This window comes from Homo sapiens, chromosome 17, assembly GCF_000001405.40.
Source record: "Homo sapiens chromosome 17, GRCh38.p14 Primary Assembly".
Lineage (NCBI taxonomy): Eukaryota > Metazoa > Chordata > Mammalia > Primates > Hominidae > Homo > Homo sapiens.
In genome coordinates this window covers 36,428,612-36,449,130 of record NC_000017.11, presented here as the reverse complement: position 1 = coordinate 36,449,130, position 20,519 = coordinate 36,428,612, and the positions used below count along the sequence as shown (strand labels likewise).

General features: G+C 54.9%; 1 protein-coding gene across 1 annotated transcript; it reads left to right on the top strand.

Moving 5' to 3' along the window:
• Window positions 1–9,609: 9,609 nt before the first annotated feature.
• On the top strand, window positions 9,610–20,519 carry TBC1D3F (TBC1 domain family member 3F). The gene is given in 15 exon segments (NM_032258.5): window positions 9,610–9,720; window positions 11,149–11,221; window positions 11,384–11,469; window positions 12,753–12,792; window positions 13,275–13,355; window positions 13,799–13,906; window positions 14,236–14,345; window positions 15,597–15,645; window positions 16,189–16,309; window positions 17,023–17,117; window positions 17,502–17,567; window positions 18,031–18,130; window positions 18,501–18,653; window positions 19,635–20,037; window positions 20,039–20,519. Coding segments are annotated over 14 exon segments (1,650 nt in total). The 5' UTR covers window positions 9,610–9,720; window position 11,149; the 3' UTR covers window positions 20,205–20,519.

Genomic DNA, 20,519 nt, shown 5'->3' with positions numbered 1-20,519 from the left:
GTAAATAAAAACAAGCAGCAAATACGAAGTTAAAAGTGAAGTTGAAGTGTAAATGCTGCTGTCCAGATGGGTGAGGCTTACTCATCCGCCAAGCGACGTCCTCAACCTCGCCTCCACCGCACACAGCGTTGAAGTTTCCATCTCAACAGAACATACACATCATGAAGCTTTACGGTTCATAAACGGTTGAGAAAGCTAACATCAAATTCTTGCATGCCAAGAGTCTACAAATTATTCCATTCACAGATGTTATAATCGGATTTATTTATTTATTTATTTATTTTGATACGGAGTCTTGCTCCCAGACTATAGTGCAGTGGCGCGACCTCGGCTCACTGCAACCTCCGCCTCCGGTGTTCAAGCAATTCTCCTGTCTCAGCCTCCCGAGTAGCTGGAATTACAGGCACGCGCCACCATACCCGGTACTTTTTTGTATTTTTAGTAGAGACGGTGTTTCGCTATGTTGGCCAGGCTGGTTTTGAACTCCCGACCTCAAGTGATCCGCCCACCTCAGCCTCCCCAAGTGCTGGGATTACAGGCGTGAGCCACCTCGCCCGACTCTGATCATTACTTCATTAGGATAAAACCATTCCTTAGAAAGGTCATTCAATTCTGATGATTGTATATCTCATATTTTTCAAATACTCTCATTGTTAATAAGCGTTTCACTCCACTAAGGCTACCCTGGCATCAAACGTATTTCAGATTTGGCTAGGCCCGGCAGCTCATGCCTGCCATCCCAGCATTCTGGGAGGTCGAGGCGGGTGGTTCACCTGAGATCAGGAGTTGGAGACCAGGCTGGCCAGCATGGCAAAACCCCATCTCTACTAAAACTACAAAAAATTAGCTGGGCGTGGTGGCAGGTGCCTGTAATCCTAGCTACTCGGGAGGTTAAGGCAGGAGAATCCCTTGAACCTGGGAGGGAGAGGTTGCAGCGAGCCGAGATTGCGCCCCACTGCACTCCAGCCTGGGCGACAGAGCAAGACTCCATCTTGAAAATAATAATAATAAAATACAGTGAGGAGTTTTTTTTTGTTTGGTTGGTTTTTTTGGGTTTTTTTTTGTGTTTTTTTGACCGAGTCTCGCTCTGTCACCCAGGCTGGAGTGTGGTGGCGCGGTCTCAGCTCACTGCAAGCTCTGCCTCCCGGGTTCACGCCATTCTCTTGCCTCAGCCTCCCTAGTAGCTGGGACTACAGGCGCCCGCCACCACGCCCGGCTAATTTTTTGTATTTTTAGTAGAGACGGAGTTTCACCATGTTAGCCAGGATGGTCTCGATCTCCTGACCTCGTGATCCGCCCACCTCGGCCTCCCAAAGTGCTGGGATTACAGACGTGAGCCACCATTCCCGGCCCAACACAATGAGTTTTAATAGACAGTCAGGATTAGGTGACATTCATCTATCTAGTCCTACATGCCATTTTGGCATTGAAGGGTTCCACAGGGCTGGAGTCACTTAGCCCTAGGTGCACAATTCTAGTGTATGAGTATACTTTTCTATTCTAAAGCCGCAATGGGCAAAATGGGTCAGTGTAATTGTAGAATTCATCTTCTACATATCAAGCACTGTAATAGGTAAACATTTTATATACATCCTCTCTAATCTTTGCAACATTCCACAAAGTAAGGGTTATTTTACCCATTGAAAAATCACTGGAAAGTCAGAGGATTTAGGGCCATTGCCCCCAACATCTACAGCCCACACCAGGATTTGAACCCAGATCTGTCTGGTTTCAAAACCCTGCCCTAATCATTTCACTGTATTACCAATCCAAGGAATAAATAAAGTTAAGGTATCTTAGTCAGATAAAAGTGGCAAATTAGACCAGGCGTGGTGGCTCACGCCTGTAATCCCAGCACTTTGGGAGGCCGAGGCAGGCAGATCACGAGGTCAGGAGATCGAGACCATCCTGGCTAACACGGTGAAACCCCACCTCTACTAAAAAAATACAAAAAATTAGTCGAGCGTGGTGACACACGCCTGTAGTCCCAGCTACTCGGGAGGCTGAGGCAGGAGAATCGCTTGAAGCTGAGAGGCAGAGGTTGCAGTGAGCCGAGATCGTGCCACTGCACTCCAGCCTGGGTGACACAGTGAGACTCCATCTCAAAAAATTTTTTAAAAATGTGGCAAATTAATGAGAGGAAAATTTAAAAAGTTAACCCCACAAACCAAGAAATCTATTTATGATTATGTTTTTTGTAAGAGACAGAGTGTTGCTCTATTGTCCAGGCTAGTCTCAAAGTCCTGACCTCAAGCAATCCTCCCGACTCAGCCTCCTGAGTAGCGGGGATTATAGGCATTACAGGCATGAGCCAATGCCCCAAGCAAGAAGTCTGTATGTTCTTATCATACGTGCGACGAAACAAAATTATACTTAAGAAACTGACAAATCATGGTAATATTTTAAATATCATGACTACACTGAAACCCTGCCAGAGGTATTTTTAAAATGTCAAGGATTTTTTCGATTTTTTTTTTTTTTTGAGACAGAGTCTCCCTCTGTTGCCCAGGCTGGAGTGCAGCAGTGAGATCTTGGCTCACTGCAACCTCTACCTCCCAGGTTCAAGCGATTCTCCTGCCTCGGCCTCCCGAGTAGCTGGGATTGCAGGCACGTTGCCACCACACCCGGCTAACTTTTGTATTTTTAGTAGAGACGGGGTTTCACCATGTTGGTCAGGCTGGTCTCACACTCCTGACCTTGTGATCCGCCCACCTCGGCATTCCCAAGTGCTGAGAATACAGGCGTGAGCCACCGCGCCCGGCCAAAATGTCAAGGATTTTTACGCTGATGTGCTTAATGTGCCCAATCTGCAATTCTAGTGGTAATCAGTGACATACCCATAAATCAGAGAGTACTTCTATGAAAATAATCACAGCCTACAAATACGGATAAAACTCCTCAGCTTTACCTCTTAGATGGTTCTAGACAGTTTCAGAATTCATGCCTCTTTCTTCAACTCTCTCATTAATTTTATTACCCTTGGCAGTAAAATAATCTTACCAATTGCTCTCCCTATGAAATTGTGAATGAAAATTCCCATTTCTTTTGCTAGGTCTTGTTAGCTGCCATCTCTGGGAAGGAGAAAGTGTTTTTATAGATAGGCATGGCAAGGACAAATAATGGAGCTGAAATGCAAGGGTGGATGGCAAATAAATTGCATCTTGTGAACTACCTCCAACTAACTTCTGCCTGGAGCACTGTGTTTAAAAGGATTCCTAGGCCACATCTGGAGGGATCCGGGAAAAAAAAAAAACAAAAGAGATGTAACGAAGGTAAGCGGAGAACCAGTAAAGTGTAGTGCTACAGTAGCCTAGGGTTTCAAGGAAAGGAGATTATAATATCCAGTCAGGCAGAGCAGCAGTCAAACAACATGAAGAAAAATGTCCATGAGACTTGGCATGTAGGAGATCACTGATGTGCCTATTGACAAGTTCAGTAGCGTTGTGAGGGAAAAGTCAATGGGCTAAAGCGGAAATGAGTGCTGACACAGAGACAGCAGGTGTAAACCAGAGACAGAGCCAGTGTACCGGATGGCTGAAGTCAAATACTTACGTAGCAAATGGGGATAGAGACACGTGTCCGATGGATGTATTGGCCTTCTCAGGACAAATATTCCATCCCCTGAAAACCACAGGAAAGGGGTAAAGAAGGATACTCCTATAGGTCAATTTACAGAAGAGAGCAAAACCTTAAAATTGTCAACGAAGTAGGAGCTAAGAACCTCTGTATCAGGTGAAGAGACAGGAAGGTCAAGACGGGGAAGGAGAAGATTTGCTAAAGATGTTGAAGAGAATGAGAGAACTAAACAGGGCTGGGCAAGCAAAGGCATCAGGCAAGGCTGAGTACTCAGATGAGGTTGAAATTATGGAATAGTTACATTAAAACAGGGTTAATCTGTATGACTAGGTGCTTTTTCTTTAGCCTTCAGATACAGAAGTAGAACAACAGACTGTGGATTGGGCTGGCATTTTGCCAGGATACAGCAGGAAGACGGGCACAGGAAAGGCCCAATGTTGGGAGTATTTCCATTAATCTCCTATGAGATCCAGGCTGGCTAGGGTAGCAAGGCAGGTTATAAGAAGAAAAATACAGACAAACTCGTGAGACTGCAGAGGCTTGGAAGGAGAAAATGTGTTGGGTGACAGTGAGATGCAGAAGATTTCTAAGGTGATACACCTGTAGAGGAGAAGGTGGAGGTCCCAGCCCGGGGAAAAGGTGGCTAATCTGCCCCTGGTGATGACCACTGGCATTAAAGGAATCCAGAAGAGATGAGGCTTTTTCTGTTTGTGGAAGTTATCTCCTTGTCCAAGTTTCTCTTCACCACTGAAAACCTCTGAAAGTTGTCAACTTCATTAAGGTAGATTCAGAAGACCTTTTGATTCAAAACGACAAAATGCTTCTAGAGAAAAAGCACATATGTCTGGTCAGATAATGCGTGTATGACTTCGGACAAATCATAGCATTTCAGTGTTTGAGGTAATCTAGTCTGTCTGTCCTCTTTATTCCTTAACTCTCCATCTGTACAGACAGAAACAATGTAATCAGCCACATAACTTGTATAAAATAAATATGAGGAGAGAACCAATTATGAAGGCAGAAGTTCTTGGGGTGAGGGGAAGAATTTTAAAATACAAAATTAACTAGCTACTTCTTCAAGAAGAAAAATATCAGGGAGTACTGAAAGAGAACAATTGCAGAAAGGAAGAGAAATTAACGTGAACAGCAACCAAAAACCTTCTAAGAATGTATCAACAGTCCAGTGGAAAACAAATACCCACCCTGATGACACCTTGATCTTGGACCCATGGCCTCCAGTACTGTGAGACAGTAACATTCTGTTGCTGAAGGTGCCCAGTCTGTGGTACTGTAAAACAGCCCTAGGAAACTAACACAGCCTGTTAGCCCACAGATGGTGGAGAGAAGGAATGCTCAGTGGAGCTCCAGGCTTACTGTCTACAGCTCCCAAAGTGTGCTACGGGACCCTTGGATGGGTGTAGGTATGCAAGATAATTTTGGGTGGTGCAGGGTGAATAATTTCAATTGACATAAAAATGTGTTTCTTTTACTGGGTAAATCAGGGGTCCCCACCTGTTAGGAACCAGGCTGCACAGCAGGAGGTGAGCAGCCAGCCAGGGAGCAAAGCTTCATCTGTAGAAACAGCCGCTCCCCATCCCTCGCATTACCGCGTGAGCTCTGCCACCTGTCAAATGAGTGGTGCCGTTCCATTCTCATAGAACCCAACTGTGAACTGAGCATGCCAGGGATCTAGATTGCATGCTCCTTATGAGAACCTAGTGCCTGATGACCTGTGACTGTCTCCCATCACCTCCTGATGGGACCATGTAGTTGCAGGAAAACAAGTTCAGGGCTCCCACTGATTCTATGTTATGGTGAGTTGTGTAATTATTTCATTATATATTACAGTGAAATAATCATAGAAATAAAGCACACAATAAATGTAATGGGCTCGAATCATCTCTGCACCATCCCTTCCCCTTCTCCCAGGTCCGTGGAAGAGTTGTCTTCAAGAAAACTGCTCTCTGGTGCCAAAACGTTTGGGGACCGCTGGTGTAAATGTTTCTAAGAATAGTTAAGCAACTTAAGCTTCACATGCTACGAAGAATACAGCTTTAAATGCTAATAAAAATAGGTGCAAATGAAAACACTCTTTCTGTGGTCCAGGGAATCTTAACCATTCTATCAGAAAGACTTGCAGCTTGGAGCTGCAGCTGCCCTCCCACATCCTGTCCACTGTAAAGCCCTGCAACACACACATACACGCGCGCACACACACACACACACACACGCTGTGCTTCATGCCCTCACTAGGGTGGTCTGGGAGGAAATGCGTGTCTTTAGGAGAAATGAAGACAACTCAGGCCCCTCATTCTCCTGGTGTTTGCACAAGTGCCTTCTCTGCAGACCATGCTTCAGTCTCTTTCTTGGTTCTCCCTCTTACTGAAAGAGAGAAGCAGAGGCCCGGCACATACTCGGCTGCTTAGGGCTCAAGCCAAGTTCGCAAGCTTCCTGGGGAGCCTAGTGAGATGAAGGCACTGCAGAGCCTCCCCAAAAGAGTCGTCGGCTTTTCGTGGATCCTTGAGCCCAGGAAGGCGATAGGTGAGACATCACAGTTCATCAGAAGACACGAGCAAACTCCGGCGAGAAAGGGCAACGGTCAAAGATTTTATTCTCTCGGAAAAGGGTTCTCGGGCTGTAAGCAGCAGGCAGAAGACTTTATTGCACGCGTAGTTAGGTGATGGCGACCTACGGTTTTCACTGGGGACTGGGATCGAGAGTGATCCGACCTCCTACTCATGCTCGTCTCTCCCTGTCTCTCTCTTTGCCTTTTGTGTCTCTCTGCCTGTCTCTCTCGCTCCTTTTCCTCTCAGCCTCCTCTGTCTCTCTCCTTATCTCTCATCCTCTCTCTCTCTATCTCACTCCCTTCTCCCCATCTCTCTTTCTCTCTCCTTCTTTTCCACTTCTCTCACCCTCCTCATCTCTCTGCCTGCCACTGTTCAGGCTCCTGGGGCCCCACGTGGATGGGCGGACACAGGACTCCTAGGCTACCTTTCATAGCGCAAGCAGAGGGCTGCAGGACCTTGGTCCCCACCTCCCAGCATCCTCAAAATGAGGGGTGTGGGGTGTGCCGTGCTCTCCTGAGTGGGCGCCCCACACTCCAGGAAGCAGAAACTGCAGGTCACAGCTGGCTCGAGTGGTGCCCACGGGGCTGCCAGCTTCCATCGTGTGATCTGCTGAGGCCAAAGCAGAGGACAGCAGCCCAGGCCCATCTCTGCAGCAGGGTGGGGGTAGGGGTGGGCTTGGGGGTGGGGATGGGGATGGGAGCCGCCAATGCAAACTGGCCCCTGGCTGGTTTCCTACCCTGCACCCTGCCATGCAAGTCCTCCTCTCCTACCCCTACCCCTGTCTGCCCCACCTCCACCCCTAGGCTGCCCCACACCCAGGCTCCAGAAGTCTCCCAGGATCCAGGAACTAAGGGCAGCCTCTGGGTTCCATAGCCCCTAGTCCATGAGTCAGCCACCCCTCTGCGTGCTGACAAACCTTGGCTCTCATGCCCCACCCCAAGCCAAGCACACAGCCCTGTCCCCCCACCAGCATTATCACCGCCTCCTGATTTTGGCCCTGACAGCCCTGCTTCCTGGTAACCTTGCCCCCTCCCACCCTGCTCCAGGCAAGCCCAAAGGCCAGGCCCTCCACCCACCCTTCCTGGGGGCCACTCTACTATCTCCTTGCCCAGATGTCTTAACCTGGCTTTACCAAGATAGAATAAATAACAGGGATGAGGCCCCGGACCCCGCCAGGAAGATGTGCCAAAATACCCTCCATTTAGAAGCGGGAACAGTGATGGGGCCTATGGATGACCCCAGGATTGTCACCCAAGCAGCAAGAAGGGCAAGGAGCCCGGTTTCCTGCCCTTACCTGGGGAGGACGTGGCCAGGGCTCCAAAAGGCCCTGGAGAGGGGTGGGCAGGAGAGCAGATCCACCCTCCTCTTGAGGAAGCAGCCACCATCCCCAGGAAGAGCAGATGGGGGCACACAGGCAGAGTCCCCACGTGCTGTAGAGCAGGGCCAGCAGAACTGTACTCAGCCCCAGCCCCAGGGGAGCTGCAAGATAGACTGAGACCCTCACAGGTTGGGCTCTGTGTCCCCACCGAAATCTCATCTGGAATTGTAATCCTCCTGTGTCAAGGGAGCAACCTGGTGGGAGGGGATGGGATCTGGGGACAGTTTCCCCCCTGCTGCTCCCCTGATAGTGAGGGAGTTCTCAGGAGAGCTGATGGTTTGAAAGTGTGGCACTTCCTGCTTCTCCGCTCACTCCCTCCTGCCGCCTTGTGGAGAAGGTGCCTGCTTCCCCTTCGCCTTCTGCCATGACTGTAAGTTCCCTGAACTGGGAGTCGATTAAACCTCTTTCCTTTATAAATTACCTAGGCTCAAGTATTTCTTTATAGCAGTGTGAAAACAAACTAATACCCCTTCCCTGAGGCGCCTTCTCCTTAGGCAACCCGCTGCCCCCATGCTCCTCCTCTGCCCCCTGTCCTTTCTTTTCCCCTCATGAGGCCCAAGTGATAAACGGGGCCAGCCCCAGTCCCAGCCCCAGCCCCAGCCCCAGCCCCATCCTACTGCAGGCCTGTGTGGCTGCTGGAGAGGCCGTGTTCCTTTCCTCTCCCCGAGCCTGCCTGATATGCTTTCTGGATCCTGGAGGAAACTGACCCCCTATTCTCATACTGGTGCAACATCTTCCAAGACCTCAAAGCTGTACCATTTGAGCCAGTCTTTTTTCTTATCTCCACTTGCTAGGGCTGTCATTGGGACAGTCCTAGAGGGTGGTGCCAATGGATGAATGGATGGATGGACAGTAGTCCAGGGATGATGTCCCTGTCTGTCCTGAACCGGGCCCTTCCTCCAATGAGAAGCCTTCCTGAGTGAGTATATACAGTCATCCCTTGGTATCCATGGAGGATTAGTTCTAGGGTCCCCGGGAATGCCAAAATCCATGGATGCTCAAGTCTCTGATAGAACATGGCCTAGTATTTACGTATAAGCTATGCGCATCCTCCCGTATACGTTAGACCGTTACTAGATTATGATGTGTAATACAATGCAGATGCTACATAAATGGTCGTGATACTGTATTCTTTAGGGAATGATGACAAGAACAAAGTCTGCACATGTTCAATAGAAACATAACCATCCAATTTATTTTCTGAATATTTTCCATCTGCTGTTGCTGAACCTATAGATGCAGAGCTCCTGGATACGAGAGCCAAGTGTGCTTTGAGAGTAGGGTGGGTGAGGTTGCTAATGAGTACAGGGGAGCAGGTGTTGATCAGGAGGGCCCTGCACTGGGGCATCTGGACGTCCTGCCTCAGGACTTGAGACTCCAGTTGGATGGCACAGACAGACTCAGCCCAGGTCAAAGCCGTCCCCTTGAAGTTTCATTTTATCCCAAGCTCTTTCTGGACCCTGGAATTTGGCATCCCCTAGGCCCTGCGTGGAAGGACAGATGAACCAGGTTTTAGATAACATGTCTAGAAGAGTGAGCCCCTACTGTGTGCTCGGCACTTTCCCCACAGGATCCTCTAGCTAGAATATCCAAGGGTCATGGAGAGAAATACCCAGTTAAAATATCAGAAATGAAAAAGCGATACCATTAGATACACTAAAAAGACCATTAGGTAATAGTATTAGCTTTTGTATTCTGAGATCCAACAGCAGCAGTCACTTCCCTCCACCCCTATGTGTATCCCACGACCACCCTGGGCGGGGAGGGCTGAGGTTAGGGAGCAGCCATGGATGCTCTGATGCTGGCCCTGGGCCTCGGGGGTGACAGTGATGAGGAACTGGGTGCACACATGAGTGGGGCAGCCGGGCCTGGCCAGAGAAGCAACACACATGTGCACAGACATGTTTACCCACATACACGTGTGCACGCACGTGCACAAACACGTTGCAGGCAGGCATGTTGACGCCTCAGGCAGCGGAGGACCCTGACTCTGGGTGCTGCTGACCCGGGCAAGGCCCCACTGTGATTCGTGCCATGACCTCAGAATGTCACTGGTGCTTAGCACCTATCTGCTCTCTGGCCTGCGTCAGTGGTCTACAGCAGTTACACACAGGCAGTGGTATCTGTGAGCAGCTCTGTGGACTCAAAGGTTTTCTCCCTGAGAGGCATGACCCAGGCCAGCTGATTCATCAGAATCAGGTGAGCGTGACCTGCTCTCTTCCCTCCAGGCGGACTTGGGGACAGTGGCTACGGTGCGGGCGGTGTTGGCCTCTGTGGGGCAGCTACCGAGGAGGGTCATCCCTGAGCACTCACCAGGCGCCCGTTCTACACTGCCCGTGTAGACGATTGGCTCTTTCGTCTCCATGGTGGCTTCGTAGAGTGGGTGCTGTTCCCAAATGTCCCCATTCGACAGATGAGACGTCTGGGGTCAGAGAGGCAGTAACCGGCCTGGGAATCCGGACATGACCCTGAGTTTTGCTCTCAGCCCTGCCGTGTGCTGTGCTGGAATTCAGGCCTGAACCCTGTGACCTCCCTGCCCTAGATCCCAAATCTGCCCAGGTTTCCCATCCCGATGGGGCAGAGCCTGGTCCTGGCAGAGCCACTGGTATAGAGCCACTGGTACAGATCCACTGACGGTCCTCAGAACACCTCTGTGCCCTAAGCTGGGTCCTGATGGTCGCTGTGGGCCCCACTGAACACACATGGTCCCTTGTCCGGGGGAGCCTGCTGCCCTTGGGCAGCTGTGGAAAATGAAGGAGCCCTGGAGGGCTGGCTGAGGGGAGACTATCTTCCCTTGTGTTCAAAGGGGTCCGGGCACTAGGGTTCTCCCCAGGTATTTCTTGCTCTGCGTGGTCCTCTTGAGGCCTTGCCCTCCTTTTGCCTCGAGTATTCCCAGGAGGGACGGTCCATCCAGCTGTTCTCCAGGACCAAGGACCCACTGTTCTTCCTCAGTGACCCAGGAAAATGAAGCCTCCTCCTGTTGGGACGGCTCAGAATGGTGGACTCCACAGTCCCTCCGCGAGAGACGTGGTTTCCATGCGTACAATAGATCTTCCTCATCCCCCAAACCCAACACCCTCCTGCTCAACAGGCGTTATTCCTAAAGTGGCTTCACTGTTCAGACTGAAGAGCCACGGTAGCCAAAGTGATGAGCGGAGTAGAACCGAGCAGTCGGGAGAGATCTTGCTCCCTGTAGGAAACTGGGCATCTCTGAGGCCCTGAGCATCCCAGGAGGCCGATTGCACAGAGACCTCTGGTCGCTGACCCCAGTCTGCCTCCACATCCCTGGAATAGCCCATCATGGGCCCTTCACCCTTGGCAGGTGGAAACCATTCAACCTGCTGGGGCCGGTGTGTCCCCATTTCATGGCATTGGGGGACAACAGGATTCTCTGTCTAGGTCCCACTGTACTCAAGTCCTTGGGAAGATGCCCACCCCTGCTTGGGACTTGAGACTCCAGAGACTGGAGCAGCTGTGGGCCACTGGGTCTGGCCCCTTTTTCCCTGGGGGCGGCGGTGGAATGGGGGTTACGCAGCCAGCCAGCATCTGGGAGCCCGGCGAGAGCGGTTCAGGTGTTCTCCGAAGCCGCCGCGTACAGTGTGACCTTTAGACAATTCTGTCTCACAGGATGGACGTGGTAGAGGTCGCGGGTAGTTGGTGGGCACAAGAGCGAGAGGACATCATTATGAAATACGAAAAGGTACAAGTCGGTCTGCTTCTTGGAGGGAGGCCTCTTCCAGTGTGCCCTGGTCAAAGGGTCCTGGGCTCCCTAGGAGCACAGGGCAGGGACGGGTGGCCAATGCCCCCAGGCCCTTGCACCCTTTACCTTGGACCCCTCAGCAAGGCTCCCTCTGGGCTACAGGGACACCGAGCTGGGCTGCCAGAGGACAAGGGGCCTAAGCCTTTTCGAAGCTACAACAACAACGTCGATCATTTGGGGATTGTACAGTGAGTCCTCTGCACTCCCCTCACCCCTAAAGCACCTGTCTCAGCTCAGGGATGGGTTTGCTTTTAGAAAGGCCTTTCTGATGCAGGACATGTCTCACCAGGTCGGGTCAACCTCCTTTCCAGGGACAGAACTCCTCCCTGACTCCCCTGCAGGTCCAGCCCGAGGTTGTTAGGCCAGAGGTGTGGGGCCCATCTAGGGAGCCGGTGGGAATGGAGACTGGGCTAGGTCAGGCCCCTGGGCGCTCAGCAGTTCTGTCGGCAAGTGAGCACAAGAGGAGCGGGGCAGCCTGAGGGTCTGGCCCTGTCTACTTGGAGACAACCCCGGTGAGATGCAAGGGTTATGGCCACAGGGTGAGGGGACGCCTGGCCCAGCCTCAGGGCTGTTGTCCAGCAGGTCTCTGAGGGCCCACCTGCCCCTGTTCTCCCCCATTCCCCTAGAGCTACAGCCCTCACTGTCCCGTGAGGGGAAAAGGCATGGTGACAATGGGGGCTGTAGCCCTAGGAGAACGGGGGAGAAGATGGGCAGGGCCCCGTTCTGGGCATCTCACGGTGAGGCCAGGGAGGCAGCAGGGCTCGCGGCTAAAGACCTGGGTCTGGTGCTGGGAAGGGATCTGGGGCCGGGTAAGAGGAGCCCAGCCAGGAGCCCATCCCTCAGGGATCACAGGATGGAGAGACAGAGGATCCCTGGGGAGGTAGGGCGGGAGGGAGCTGACGAGCCGTGCCACTTCTGAAACGCAGGGTGTGTGGCTCGGGTGCAGGGAGAGGCAGGTGGATGCTGGGAGGTCAGAACCTGCAAGGGCCTTGGGGCTGTCAAGTGGGGTGGGCCCCTGGTGCAGCCAGAGTACACCGGGCAGGTCTCAGGGCAGGCTCCCTTGACCCTGGCGGGGGGATGTGGTCACTCCCTGAGGGACTCCTGTCAGGGCCCGGTCGCCCACCCTGGGCGGCCCCCATCCCATCTCAGGGCTAACCTTTCTCAGCTCCAGCAGAAAGCACCACCTCGAGTCCAGGACGGGCAGCCCCACTGGGCAGCCTGACCGCCCCCCACGCCAGGGGCCCCAGTAACCCCGGCCAGGCTGTCCCTACACTCCTTCTTCTCCCAGGTCCTGCCCCTCCTGGGAGTCAGCCCCACAGGAAGGCCCTTGTCCTCCCTTCCCTGTGCCTTCTCCTGGGCTGAGCCCTGAGCTGGAAAGGGACAGAGCCAGTCCTTTCTGGGGGTCGGCACCCAGGCTGGGGCCGCTCCAGGCCCCGTGCAGTTCCTCAGCTCTGCCTGGGTTGCCTTACAGTGAGACGGAGCTGCCTCCTCTGACTGCGCGGGAGGCGAAGGTAAGAGCCTGATGCGTGGAGGGGCTGGTCCAGGGACGTAGGGACTGGGCGGGTGGTCAGTGAGGCAGAGGAAGCAGCTGGCCTGAGCGGTGGCGGGTGAGGGCAACACGCTGTCACTGGGAGGGGCAGCAGTCCCTGCTGGACCTGACCCCAGGTTGCTGTTCACTTTGGCAGTTTGATAAAATTCCAAAAGGAGAACCACAGTCCTGGCTTGGGGGTGGCTGTGCGCTTGTGTCAGGACCCCACCTAGAGGCTGGGACCTAAGACTGGTGTGTCTGTGGCCTGAGGATGGTACATCCCGGGGTCCCAAAGCCAGCCCACTGGTGCTCATTTGCTCAAAGGCTCTCAGCCCTTGAGGTCTGCCCTTCCCTGGCTCCTTCCAGCTGGCTCCCACCAGGGCTCCAGAGCCCAAGACCCAGCATCCGCGGGCGGCTCTGGGAAGCCTGGCAGCTCCGCTAACTCCAACATGCCTCATTTGACAGCAAATTCGGCGGGAGATCAGCCGAAAGAGCAAGTGGGTGGATATGCTGGGAGACTGGGAGAAATACAAAAGCAGCAGAAAGGTAACGTGTGGAGGGAGGAAGCACTCTCTGCAGAGACAGGGCACAGGCACCCATGGCTGTGGCCTGGCACCATCAGCCTCTCAGAGGGTGGGCGGCACACTGTCCTCGCCCAGAGGACTGCAGGCCTGGTCGCCAGATTTCCTGCCTATTCGTGCAAGCGTCACCTTGCAGGGAGGGAATCTGAATCTAGGGCTGGGACTACCCGGAGCTCAAGGCTAGGGATGCCCTGGTGACCTGAAGGAAGGAAAAGGTTCAGATCAGAGTTTCGACTCTGAGTGTCCATCCACTCTTTCAGTCCTGGGAAGGGAGACCCTGTCCCAGCTTGATCTCACCTCTACTGAGGAATCATGGGGCCAAAACCGACAATTTCCAGAATCCCCGGGCTCTGGTCCTCACTGGGGTCACCCTGTGGCCTGTGACACCAGATTGTTTTCTGCCCACAGCTCATAGATCGAGCGTACAAGGGAATGCCCATGAACATCCGGGGCCCGATGTGGTCAGTCCTCCTGAACATTGAGGAAATGAAGTTGAAAAACCCCGGAAGATACCAGGTACGCTCAGCCAGAGCACAACAAACAGGACAGGCCGTGTCGGGGCCCAGGTCTCCAGCTGGAGGGAACGTCAAGACCACCCTGGGGAGCTGGGGGTGAAGGTCAGATGAACACCCTGGGCACAGATGGTGACACAGTCACCACAGACAAACTCAGCTCTGGTGACCCTCCCTGGCTTCAGTAACAAGCCAAAATGCAGCTTTCTGCAGAAGGAAACCTTCCTTCTGTCCTTCCTTCCCGAAGTGCTGACTGTGGGCTGACTGCCACTGGGGGCAGGGAGTCTTCCATCTGTTCTGAGACTGCTTCCTCCTCTTGGCCCTGCCCTACAGATCATGAAGGAGAAGGGCAAGAGGTCATCTGAGCACATCCAGCGCATCGACCGGGACGTAAGCGGGACATTAAGGAAGCATATATTCTTCAGGGATCGATACGGAACCAAGTAAGCCTACGGGAGCCACAGGGTCCCAGCAGAGATGGGGTGAATGAGAGGGATGGGGGCTTCCCCGGAGCAGAAGCCAGGGTCACCCAGGAGGGATGACACAGCTGCCAAGAGCTCTCCCGGCCCAGGGAGCAGCCGGCACCATGAACCGAGCACCTCCCTGGTTCCAAGCCCTGGGCCAGACTGGAACATGTGGGGCCAGAACCCAGGAGGATCCTGAGGAGATGGAAGGCAGCAAACAAAATCATGCACAATGGTGAAGGGTGCTCTCCCTGACCCATGGGGACCCATGGTAGGACCCATGGGAGGGTGGCAGGATAGAGGGCCCATGAGCCCCCCCCAGGCAACAGTGACAGCACCAAATGCTGGGAGAATTAGGGGTCCTGGAAACTCTCATCCAGGTCCGCTGGGAACATGACATGGCACAGCCACGTTGGCAGCCCGTTGGGCAGTGGCTCACAAAGCTCCATGGACTTGAACCACACATCCCCAAAGTGTCACAGATATTGAACCCACTGATTTGCAAACTGACATCCACATGAAACCAGCATGCCAGGTTCACTGCTTGACTCCTCGTCACTCACACACGGAGCCTTCGGAGACGGCCTTCAACACGGGGATGGGGAGAGCAAGGCTGGTCCTCCCTTCAAACGGAAGACCCAGTGAGAAAAGGGAACGAGCCGGTGATGCCCGCACGAACGTGGGTGGATCCTAGATGCATTTTGCTGAGGGACAGAAGCCAGACCCAATAAGCTACCACAGTAGGATTCCCATTCCTAGGCCATTCTGGAAAAGGCCAAACCACAGGGACTGAGAAGCAGTCTGGGTGGCCAGGGGCTGACGGATCGGGGAGAGGCTGGGTGCATAGGGGCCACCCTGGAGACTTGGAGGATGAAGGAGTCGCCCCAGGAGGGGCTGGAGCGGTGGCCGGGAGACTCTGCACATTGGTTTGGAACCGTGGAGGAACTGTACACCCACAGACTGAACTGGCGTGTGTGCAAACTGAAAAAAAAAAAAATCATTCAGAGTGAAAAGGATCAGGCAAGTCACTGTACAACTGGGCTATTTGCATGTCACAGATGTGGATTTTACTGAAACATTTCTTCAAGAGTCTCAGGCCCTGAAGAGCTCACTGCTTATCTGGTGAAACATCTGAACCTGAAATGGGATTTGCTGTTAGGCTTTGTAGACAAAGTGAAATTAACAACATCTGCACAAAACAAACCAAAGCCCCCTTTCTCTGTTTCCTAGGCAGCGGGAACTACTCCACATCCTCCTGGCATATGAGGAGTACAACCCGGTGAGTATTCCCGGCAGTGAGGTTCCCGGGCCATATTTCCATATTGACAGGAGTGGGTGTCTGGTGGGGGTGTCGTTGCTTCTTTTAAAGTTAGTATTTGTGACCCACCAGGATATAGGAGGTAGGATGTCAGCTCACCGCTGGCATAAACCTCCAAGGAAGGGGGTGGTCTCAAGGGGTCAAGCTGAGACACAAAGGAGTCAGGGCCCGGACTCCTGGTGTCACCTGGGCCTGACCACCACTTCTCAGAACAAGAAATGACGCCCTCCTCCTGGGGCTGCCCCAAAGCCCAGGAGCTTGGCAGCATCGCACACAGGATGGTGCTATCAGCAGACATTTTGGACAAGGTGCTGAAGTGCCTGATGGACTTGGCTCTTGTCATGAAATGAATGTGCATCCTGAGGAAGCCTCTTTTTCAGAGGAAGCCTCTCCTTCAGAGGAAGCCTCTCCAGTCACCTCTGCCCTCTCCAATGACATGAGTCCTCCCAGGTGACCTCAGCCCTCCCAGGTGATGTCCTTCCATGGTGACTCTGGCTCTTGCAGGAGGTGGGCTACTGCAGGGACCTGAGCCACATCGCCGCCTTGTTCCTCCTCTATCTTCCTGAGGAGGATGCATTCTGGGCACTGGTGCAGCTGCTGGCCAGTGAGAGGCACTCCCTGCAGGGTAAGTGAACAGCTGCCCCGGGGACCTCCTGCAGCCAGACCTGGGGATGGCCACCCTGGCCGGGTGATCACAGCTTTCAGCCAAGGCACCCTCCTTGTGTCGCCAGCTTGTTGGGAGACTTTAGGATGTCTCTGCTGAGGGTCCCACAGGAGTCCACGGCTGACCCCCAAAGCCCAAATCAGACGCCTCTCATCCCCATCAGCAGAGGGCATCTCATCCTCCCCGTGGCCACCCTCTGTGTCCTGGAGCCACGCCCTCCGGCTCTGATTCTGTGCAGCTGACTCTCCCCTCCCTGAGAGTCCTCCTGCCCTCCAGCTGCCCGGGCTCCTGCTGCCATCGGTGCCCACGAATGGGCCGACCAAGCCCAGGTGGCAGCATCTCCCCATCCCCTGTTCCCTGGCCCGACCCCACTACCAGGAGATGACCGGGAAGCCCAGCGCCTACCCAGTTCCGGCCACCCTGTCGTGGCCTGAAAGTCAGGCTTGCCCTTTTTGCACCCTGGCCCAGGAGGCCTCCAGGGGAACCTCCAGCCAGGCTCCAGGGAATGTTCCCGCCCCACCTCCCCAGGGTAAAGGCCGCATGTTGGGGTCACCAGAGGGGAGGGTGGGAGGCCTTGGGGTTTGGGGGCCTCTCCAGCTGCCCAGCTCTTGCAGCTGATGGCTCCACATCTTGGGGGAAGGCTCTGATTTCATGATGGGCTGGGGGCTTCTCAGGATTTCACAGCCCAAATGGCGGGACCGTCCAGGGGCTCCAAGACCAACAGGAGCATGTGGTAGCCACGTCACAACCCAAGACCATGGGGCATCAGGTGAGTTTATGGTCCCCTCAGCTCTTCCCAGAGGCCCTGCCTCCCGTGGGGCTGTAGGAGCAGGGGGGCTGGAGCCCCTCGTGGGGCTGGTGACTGGCTGAGTCCCAGCCAGGGCCTGACCTGGGACGTCGGGTTCTCCATGGGCTGGGAGTTGGTTTCCTTTCCTGCCCTGGAGGAGACAGAGGCACAGGGATGGGGGCCCAGCTCCCGCAGAGCAGGGCAAAGGGCAGTGTGTCCACCGGGAGTGTGGGAAGGTGACAGTGTTGTGGGGAGCTCTGGACACCGCCCAGTGTTCTGCACTAGGGGAAGGCTCTTCAGAGGCCCTGGAAGAGGGAGGTTTTTAGGGCAGCCCAGTGGCCTGAGCACCTCTGTTGCTTCCATCAGGACAAGAAAGATCTATGTGGGCAGTGTTCCCCGTTAGGCTGCCTCATCCGGATATTGATTGACGGGGTAAGGAGGCATAGGGAGACCCTGGCTCAGGGACCTTCCTTGCCCTGCAGTGCCCTGCTTCCCCAGCCCGGGGGTCTGGCTCACTCCCAGCCCACAGGAGGCTCAGGCGGGTCCCCAAAGGACACACAAGCAAAACCCTCTGCCCAAGGGGGGTCATCCCAGGGCCATGGCTGGGGCTCAGGCCCAGCCTCATGGGCAGAGTGGGCCAGGACCCGACTTGTGAGGGCTCAGGGAAGCCTCAAGCCCTGGGCAAGCCCCTCTCTCCAGGAGCCACATCCCCACTCAAATGAGTGCCCCCCATGAGGAGCTTCAAGACCTTGTCTGACCCAGCGTCCTGGAGGGCTCAGGCGACCCTCATGGGGAAGGTCACTGACTCTGGAGACTGAAGCCCCAGTGTGCGCAGCTCGAGCCACCAGCCCCAGCCTGGAAGGACCAGGTTCTTTCACACCTGCTGTCCCCACAGATCTCTCTCGGGCTCACCCTGCGCCTGTGGGACGTGTATCTGGTAGAAGGCGAACAGGCGTTGATGCCGATAACAAGAATCGCCTTTAAGGTTCAGCAGAGTAAGTCTACGTGTGCCCAGCGGGGCCTGGGGAGCCCTGGGGTCAGACCCCGACTGGCCCGAGGGCAGCTTCCTCACACTGTCCTCATGATCCTCTGTTCTGGCCCAGAGGGAGGTCTGGCCAGGTGGGCTGGGCAGGACACTGTGACACCGAGCCCATCCCCCACATGACCCAGATGAAAGTCGAGAGTGTGGTGAGCACTTCCCTGTCCGGATCGCCCCCCAGCCACAGTCTCCTGTGTATATCTGGACACCTGGGGTGGCCACAAAAGGATCCGGCACCGCCCAGTAGGAGACTGAAGTGGCCACGGGGTATGAGCTGTGACCATTCCCAGGTAACTCCCCTGGCCTGATATCCACCCTGTCCCTAGAGCGCCTCACGAAGACGTCCAGGTGTGGCCCGTGGGCACGTTTTTGCAACCGGTTCGTTGATACCTGGGCCAGGGATGAGGACACTGTGCTCAAGCATCTTAGGGCCTCTATGAAGAAACTAACAAGAAAGAAGGGGGACGTGCCACCCCCAGGTGGGCTCCAGTGCCATGTCCCCTCCCATGTCACCCTCTGGGGTAGTCAGTAGTAGGGGAGTGCCCGGGACCCGCAACCCTACTACCTGGGCCTTCCTCTTCACCTTTTCTTCCTCCTCTTCCTCCTGGACTCTAAGAAAGTACAGGAGGCCCACCGGTCCTCAGGGCAGGCGCTCAGTGCGTGTATACTGGACATGCTGTGCACGCAGGAGGGGGATGTGGGCAAGACCCTCCAACAAGCCCCCTCCCACTTTCCACGGTGTCTCCCTCTCCCCCTCGCAGGGCCCTCCAAGTTACTAGACGAGCCCAGACCCATTTGTGGGAGACCCCGCCCCTCCCTGCAAGCACCCACAGCCTCAGAGAGCAGCAGAGGCCCCTCACTCCTGCACGCTCCTCCAAGGTTGCCAGGACAAGAAGCCTGGAGCCAGGGAGACAAGGGAATCCGTGTCCCTGACCCACAGAGCATTCAGGGAGAGGGCACAGGCGGGACCCCGGGCCCAGAGCCAGAGCCAAGAGTTCAGCCAGAAGTGGGAACGGTCAGTCCTGGCATGGACTGGGCAGCCCAGGAGGGCAGAGGGTGACCCACGTCCGGGCCCAATCACCCACTGCGGAGACGGGTCCCCACGTGAGGTGACAAGGGGCTGGGTGACATCCAAGGCCCCTCCCACCTGAGTTCTGACTGGGGGCCGTATCCCAGGCCCAACAGCCCTGGGACGAAGGTGTGTGGCAGGAAGCCCCCAGCCAGTCTGAACCCTGGGGGCAGTCCCAGGAGCCACCCGCCATGCCACGACAGCTTCCCCACGCCAGGCAGCATGCACCCCTCCCTCTGGGATCAGCAGACTACAGGCGTGTCCTCGGTGTCAGGCCACGGGGGCCACACAGAGACCCCGAGGACTCCAGAGACGCAGGCAGGTGGGGCCCAGCCCGGAAAGGCCTGCGTGGGCTCACTGGAGATGCTGACCGCGTCTGTTTTCCTTTCAGCCAAACCCGAGCAAGGGTCGTCGGCATCCAGGCCTGTGCCGGCTTCACGTGGCGGGAAGACCCTCTGCAAGGGGGACAGACAGGCCCCTCCAGGCCCACCAGCCCGGTTCCCGCGGCCCATTTGGTCAGCTTCCCCGCCACGGGCACCTCGTTCTTCCACACCCTGTCCTGGTGGGGCTGTCCGGGAAGACACCTACCCTGTGGGCACTCAGGGTGTGCCCAGCCCGGCCCTGGCTCAGGGAGGACCTCAGGGTTCCTGGAGATTCCTGCAGTGGAACTCCATGCCCCGCCTCCCAACCGACCTGGACGTAGAGGGCCCTTGGTTCCGCCATTATGATTTCAGACAGAGCTGCTGGGTCCGTGCCATATCCCAGGAGGACCAGCTGGCCCCCTGCTGGCAGGCCTGAACACCCTGCGGAGCGGGTGAGATCGGCTTTCGCTGCACCCAGCACTGATTCCGACCAGGGCACCCCCTTCAGAGCTAGGGACGAACAGCAGTGTGCTCCCACCTCAGGGCCTTGCCTCTGCGGCCTCCACTTGGAAAGTTCTCAGTTCCCTCCAGGCTTCTAGAAGCATCTGGGCCAGGGCTCATGGCTGGATAATTTCCCTAGGCTTAACAACCCAAGCAAGCTTCGCATCCTCGTTTTATTTTTGGTTAAACTTATGAAAATGTATTAAGAAAGAGTGCAGCTCGAGAGAGATTCAGAGATGGAACACACCAGACCCCAGATCACAAAGCCAACCATGCCCAGCCCCTCCCAGCACCCCCAGCCCCACGACCATCGTTCTGAATTCTGACGACACCGTGAGCCTGCCTTTGTACTTCAAACTCATGGAAGGATAACCACCTTCATGTTTTGAAATAAATGTTTCCTGTTGAAATGA